Here is a 7,741-nt window from a genome sequence, read left to right on the forward strand (position 1 = left end):
AGATGACACGGCTTGTCCAAGTTTATACGGTTTGTCAGTGGTGCAGTTGGGATCCCAGGTTTGTCTGACTTGGCTATAACCACCGCCTTAGAGTCGGAAGATATGTGTGCCCTGGGGCAAATTACTTAACTTCTCTGAGCTCAGGTTTCCTCATCTGTAAAATGGGGCATTACTAGCTATTTTGCAGGGTGGTAGTTAAAAGCTAGCGAGTTAATGTGTGGATGTACTCAAATTCCTAGCACCGGGCCTGGTGCACAGAAGGCCCTGAAGTTAGAAGAGTTGACTATTCAGGCACAGAGTCGGGTATTCTGGCACCAAACTTCTGCCAGCAAAGTGATCGCTGGTGTTTGGGGCACAAAGCTTTGGGAGTAGAGCTGTCACTTAATGGTGACAAAGTGAGTAGTGGCTCACGTTAAATTTTAAGATAAAGCACCTAAAACTTTGGACATTGACTTGGGGTTGCCTTAAGAGATCCAAGGCTAGTGCCCATCCACTGCATTCCCTCCTAGCCAAGAATGTCTCGCCCTTCGCATGTTAAAACTAAACAATGTAGCCCGCGGAGCCCATTCAATGCTCTGCAGTCAAGGATTAAAAACTCATGCTGCCTAGTAATCCCAGCACTGTGGGAGGCGGAGGCGGGCGGACTGAGCTTGAGGTCAGGAGTCCAGACCAGCCCGGCCAACACGGTGAAACCTCGTCTCTGCTAATACAAAAATTAGCCGGGCGTGGTGTTGTGCGCCTGTAGTATTGGCTACTCGGGAGGCTGAGGCAGGAGAGTCGCTTGAACCCGGGAGGGGGATGTTGCAGTGAGCCGAGATCGCGCCACTACACTCCAGCCTGGGGGACAGAGCGAGACTCTGTAACAAAAAGACAAACAAACCAATCCAAACTCATGCTGCCTCGCCCTTGCGGGGCAGAACCTACAAAAGTCACCATGCCTCTGATGTTCATTTTCACTTTTTTTATGTTACGAAGCAGGATCGTGTGTGTGTGTGTGTGTGTGTGTGTGTGTAAACGGATCCAGATCTAAAATTGTCACTGAAAGGACGAACTCATCAAAGAAGTCCATGTGTAGCTGCAAGTAGCTTTCTGGAACTATTGGTGTTGTTTGCGCGCCCCCTGGCGGCCAATGGCCTTCCTTGTCAAGGAGGTTGGCACAGATCATCAGTTTCTTAACCGTGGTGGCACGTGAGGAATTACCTGGAAATTCTGATTTAAAAGCTCTACTGATAGCTCACGCCTGTAATCTCAGCACTTTGGGAGGCAGAAGCGGGCGGATCACCTGAGGTCAGGGGTTCGAAACCAGCCTGGCCAACATGGTGAAACCCCGTCTCTACCCAAAATACAAAAATTAGCCGGGCTTAGTGGTGCACGCGTGTTATCCCAGCTACTCTAGAGGCTGAGGCAGGAGAATCGCTTGAACCCGGGAGGCGTAGGTTGCAGTGAGCCGAGACCTTGCGGTTGCATTCCAGCCTGGGCAATAATAGTGAAACCCCGTCTTAAAAAAAAAAAAAAAAGTCTACTGCTGGGATAGACATTAGTATTATTTTTTTAAAAGAAATTTCACAGGTGATTTAATGTGCAGACAGGGATAACCACTGCTAGGGGGATTTCATTTATTTATTTATTTATTTGAAATGGAGTTTGGCACTTGTTGCCCAGGTTAGAGTGCAATAGCACCATCTCGGCTCACTGCAACCTCCGCCTCCCAGGTTCAAGCGATTCTCCTGCCTCAGCCTTCCAAGTAACTGGGATTACAGGGATGCGCTACCATGCCTGGCTAATTTTGTATTTTTAGTAGAGACGGGGTTTCACCATGTTGGCCAGGCTGGTCTCAGACTCCTGACCTCAGGTGATCCACCCACCCTGGCTTCCCAAAGTGCTGGGGTTACAGCTGTGAGCCACCATGCCCGGCCCTGGGGATTTCATTTAGAGTTACAAATTGATGGGTTTGATTCATTTTGCAAATATTTATTGAGCTCCTACTAGGTGTTAAGCACTGTGATAGGAGATGATGAGCAACAGAAAGACCAGTGCCCTGTCCTCATGTAAATTACAAATATTAGTGAAATAAACATACAATGAAAAAATAATCATTAGAGCTCAGAATAGGACAATCTGAGTGCATCTGGAAGTCAGCAAACGCTTGAGGACTTGCCTTTTGAAGTGAGGTCTGAAGAGTGAGCTGGAGTTAACTAGGCCAGGCTGATGCACTGACACAGCTAGTTGCCTCAAGTCTCCTTGCTCTTGTCAGGCAAGTGGCCCACGAAGTTGGAGGTAGGCCTTCTTTTATATGGCTCTGGCCTCCTGCCCAAGTGGACAATCGGATCCCTGGATGACTGACGATGATTGCCTGTTAATTCCATCAGGGTAATGTGAAAACATTAAAAGGAGGAAAGTGTTGCTCCTGAGGGCAGCAAAAGATGTGTGCGTGAAGGTCGAGGAGGAAGACAAGATGGAGCGCTGAACATCAAAGAAATGCAACTTTAAACAAAAAGGAGCCATGTCTCGTCAGGCCAATTGGCAAAGGCGTATAATACATAGTGCTTGATGAGAATGGAGATTCTTCTCTCTGATCCAGCAAATTCACTGTTAGGAAGTCCCCCTGGAGAATGATGGGCATAGATAAGTGGAGAGTCTAGCAGAGAAAGGGAGTATGGCTGAGCTTAAAGAACAGGATCATAACCCCTTTGGGAGGAGAGGTTTGTTTTAAAGAGGAAGAGTAAGTATTGTGTGGGACGTTGTCTCAGTGGCTGAATTACCATTGATCGCTCCATGTGGGATTACATAAAAGAAGATTCATGTGTAGAAAAATTTCCATATAACAACCTCTCTTATCCTTTTAATTTCAACTGAATTTGACATACCTATTGAGTACCTGCTGTTGCAAGGCTTAGGTGGGTGTGAAGAACTGCATTATCATGAGGGATGGGTGACATGCCTGGCTCCCTGTCCTCCAGGAATGTAGGCTAGAGGCGAAGGCTGACAAGCGACAAATTGAAATGCAGTAATTATAATAAAATAAATATTATATTATAGGTATAAGAATGTGTGTTTAAAGTGTTATGAGAAGAGAGGTAAAACATTTTTCAAATTGTAATTGAAGAAACGAGTCTGAGGAAGATTCCCAGAGGAAATAACATTTGAACAAAATTTTGAAGAAACAATTGGATTTCACTAGATTTGGCATAGGAGTATTGGAGGGGAGAAGGCCCTTCTGCTTTAAGGAGAGTTGCATGAGGCTTTATTTATTTAATAAGGCTTTACTGAGCACATTGATAAATGCTGTGTGGGATACAGAAGGAAGAGAACTTTCTACCTTGGAAAGGAGACAAAACACACCACAAGCAGAACAAAAGCCATGATATTACATTATATTGTGTAATTAGGTGTCAATGTTGTCAGCAAGATCTAGAGATGAGGCCATTGCTTCAAATATTTGCAGCGCAGTGGACAGAAGCCTGCTGAGGGCAAAGGGAGAAATGGGAGGTACATTCTTACCATCACCTTTCCACAAACTTCTGGATTAAAAAATATTATTGTTTCTTTTGACAATTTTTTATTTCAATAGTTTTTGGAGTATAGGTGTTTTTTGGTTATGTGGATAGGTTCTTTCATGGTGAATTCTGAGGTTTTAGTGCACCCATCACCCGAGCAGTGTACACTGTACCCAATATGTAGTCTTTTGTCCCTCACCCCCCTCCCAACCTTCCTCCTGCATCCCCAAAGTCCATATATCATTCTTATACCATTGCATCCTCACAGCTTAGCTCCCACATATAAGTGAAAACATATGATATTTGGTTTTCAATTTCTGAGTTTAAAAAGTATTATTGTTTCTTAATGTGACATGAACCATACCCGAAAACACTTTGGCAAAAAACTCAAGCATAAAGGGGGGAAAAAAAAGCCTCCCTCACCACCCCAACTCCCCCGTAATCCCGCATGTCTCCTGAGATGTAACTGTTATCGCCACTTTGGTGTGGATTCTCCCAGAATGTTATCGATGTATTTATACATAAATACAAATATGTAAATACATAAACATATAGTTTTTGGGTTGCTGTGTGTTTTATATAAATGGTAAATTCGGAACATTTTCTATAGCTTTTTTTTCACTCCAAGGTATTTGGGGAACTTTACATGTCAGTTCATTTAGATATACCTCAGTATTTTAAACTTGTATTCCATGGCATGGTGCATCTCAGTCACTGAACTATTTCCAGTTGATAATATGGGCAGTTGATAAAATTTATACTTGATTTGTGCATCAGCAACAATAATAACATCCAGCCTGGGTTTAGTAAATGGAGCCCTGTCTTGAGGCACCAGTCTAGGGTAACAGTTCCACTGCTGATTCCATGATCTTGGTCAGTTCCCAAACCAGAATGAAAGGGAAGCTGGGGAGCCTCAGAGAAGAACCCAGCACGACAAACAGCTGAGAGTTGTACTGCAAGCCTCCCACTAATGACTGGTTGTCATTGATCAAGTAACTATATGCTAATAAAAGGAAAATACCAAGAGCTTGAAAGCTACTCTGGCCCATTTGTGAAGGTGGGGGCTCTCAGCAGGCAGGGGAATAAATGGTGTTTTGATTTGACTCTATCTCATAGTAGGCTCATTGTGACAAGGACTCTAAGGACATTTGAAGATATTTGGGGTGGGGAAGGGAGGTCTAAAAGTGCTTTGTATTGCTAAAAGTTAAAGACATAAAGATTAAAACAAGATAGCTGATTGGCAAGTAATACGTTGTTTATGGGATGAAGATCTACATTTTCCTTTTGACCCAGCAATCCTACTTTTAGGAATTATCTCATAGAATTACTCTCATAGATATATAGAGACAGGAGCAGAGAACGAGAGAGCTGGTAAACTCTATTTTACTTAAGCCATGGAATTAAGGAACACCTGGGGTAAGATATTTTGAATTTATCTGGTGATTATTTCCCAAGTTCCTGAGTGTACAGTTAAAATTGATATACTTAGAAACTGGCAGAATTTTCACACTCAATCCCCTCTACGGAGTGAGAGCTGTTATTATTGGAAGAACCAAGACATTCCCCCTTCCCCTGCTTTTTTAAAAACTAAATTAAAGAGTAATATTGCATTGTTGGGGGAAACACAGTGGTTAGCACTACTATCCAAAACTTGAAAGATGCAGAAGTGATGATTTCTCTCTTTTTTGAGATGGAGTCTCGCTTTGTTGCCAAGGATGGAGTGCAATGGTGCAATCTCACCTCACTGCAACCTCTGCCTCCCAGGTTCAAGCGATCCTCCTGCCTCAGCCTCCCAAGTAGCTGGGATTACAGGCGCCCACCACCATACCCAGCTAATTTTTGTATTTTTAGTAGAGACAGTGTTTCACCATGTCGGCTAGGCTGGTCTCCAACTCCTGACCTCAGGTGATCCGCCCGCCTTGGCCTCCCAAAGTGCTGGGATTACAGGCGTGAGCCACCGCGCCCGGCCAGAAGTGATGATTTCTATCACATCTGCAATTTAAGTGACAATATGGCTGATGCAGTATATAGAATAACTCAGAGAATGAAATGACAATGACTTTAATTGCATCTGCTTTTACAGACATTGTCTCCTTCATAGCCCGTGTTATGTCATTATCAGTTTGGCGAATGCTTTTTTCTCCATCCCAATAAGCAGTAACACCAGAAACAGTTTGCTTTCACATGGCAGGGGCTGCAGAATACTTTCAACATCTTGCCTCAGACTTATACCAGCTCTAAGGTCCTGCGCTTCAGTTTTGTACTTAGGAATCTTGATCATATCACTAACCCACAGGACACAGCCCTGGCCCTCCACAAGGATGCTATTTTGCTAAGAAGGCCTGATGAGAAGGAGGGGGGCAGGTGCCCTGGCTGACTTTGTTAAGACACACACACGCTGAGGGTGGGAAATACGCAGTATTCCATGCTTTCACTTTCCGAGGTTTTAGTTACTCACGGTATAGTAAAATAAGATATTTTAGGGGTACAAAAAATAATTGGAACGAATAAGATCTAGTATTTGCTAGTATAACAGAGTGACTATAGTAAAAAATAATTGTACATTTTAAAATAACTAAAAGAGTGTAATTGGTTTGCAACACAAAAGATAAATGTTTGAGATGAAGGTAAATAATTGCATTTAACCTGATGCGATTATTATACATTGCATGTATTAAAATATCTCACGCACCCCGTAAATATATACTCCTACTGTGTACCCAAAAAATTAAAAATAAATTAAAAAATTTAAAAAAGGACTGCGCATGGTGGCTCATGCCTGTAATCCCAGCACTTTGGGAGGCCGAGGCGGGTGGAGCACCTGAGGTCAGGACTCAAGACCAGCCTGGTCGACATGGAGAAACCCTGTCTCTCCTAAAAATACAAAAATAAGCCGGGCATGGTGGCAGTTGCCTGTAATCCAAGCTACTTGGGAGGCTGAGGCAGGGAGAATTGCTTGAACCCAGGAGGCACAAGTTGCAGTGAGCCAAGATCATACCACTGTACTCCAGCCTGGGTGACAGAGTGAGGCTCCGTCTCAAAATAAATAAATAAATAAATAAAAATTAAAAAAAGATATTTTGGGAGAGAGATCACATTTATATGCCTTTTATTACAGAATATTGTTATAATTGTTTCATTTTACTATTAGTTACTGTTGTTAATCTCTTACTGTGCCTAAGTTATAAGTTAAACTTTATCATAGGTATGTGTGAATAGCAAAAACATAGAATATATGGGGTTTGGTACTATCCATGGTTTCAGGCATGTACTGGGGGTCTTGGAACACACCCCCTGTGGATAAGGGGGGACTACTGTACTCAGGTTAATTTTATTCAAGTGAGAAAAAATGGTTCAACTGTAAGTATATTCTCAGGGTGTTTTGATGACATCCATACAGAAGGATAAGTCTCCCTCATGAAACGTTAATGAAAAGGCTCATGGGACCCTACTTCTCCAACATCTGGTGTCTTTGGGGGAAGAACAGGGCCATAGAAAGCTTTGGGTGTAGACTCTAAAGACTGAGGTTGCAACCTCAGAATTTCAAAATAGTTTAGTATCAGACAACCTGACATTCCTATCCATGTTTTAGCCATCGTGTACCATAAAACGATTTGACCCTCTTCGACGTCCATCCATCATGTGCCAGCCAGCCACAGGGTGAGTTTTGTTGACCCTCACAAGTGCCACAATTCACTAAGGTGTACAGAAGCCATGTAGTGGAGTAGCGCTGAAGTTGGAGTCTCAAATTTGTACTCTCTTGGATGGTAAATATACATCTTCAGGCACATTTAAAAAACAACATGTTGTTATTTAGAAGTTGTTAAAAAATAACATCGAAGGCCATAGCATGGTGTGGGACCGTCCCCTTTCCAAAAGAATCCATTAAAACCCTATCAATTCATGTATCCATGTATCCCATTCAGCCCTTTTGAGCAGAGGCAGACAGCTTATTTTACGTAGTATAAAGATTAGGGAGGGTGATCTAGGAGCTAAAATATGGAGAGAGTCCTTCCTTAGACAGAGTGGTAGAATTTGGTATTGGGAAATTTCTGAACTGATAATCCAATCAAAATCAGATGCATTGGTGGGGTGCTGTGGCTCACGCCTATAATCCCAGCACGTTGGGAGGCCGAGGCGGGTGGATCACGAGGTCAGGAGTTCAAGACCAGCCTGGCCAACATGGTGAAACCCCGTCTCTACCAAAAATACAAAAAAAAAAATTAGCTGAGCATGGTGGCACA

The 7,741-nt window shown here is 43.0% G+C and overlaps 1 annotated feature.

Annotated features, from left to right (window-relative positions):
• Positions 232-839: an enhancer, noted in NCBI's record as "OCT4-NANOG-H3K27ac-H3K4me1 hESC enhancer chr15:69167471-69168078 (GRCh37/hg19 assembly coordinates)". NCBI's record gives its function as "activates a minimal SCP1, AML or CMV promoter by ChIP-STARR-seq in naive H9 embryonic stem cells {active_cell/tissue: H9 hESC(naive)}" and the evidence as "EXISTENCE:reporter gene assay evidence [ECO:0000049][PMID:30033119]".

This window comes from Homo sapiens, chromosome 15, assembly GCF_000001405.40.
Source record: "Homo sapiens chromosome 15, GRCh38.p14 Primary Assembly".
Classification (NCBI taxonomy): domain Eukaryota; kingdom Metazoa; phylum Chordata; class Mammalia; order Primates; family Hominidae; genus Homo; species Homo sapiens.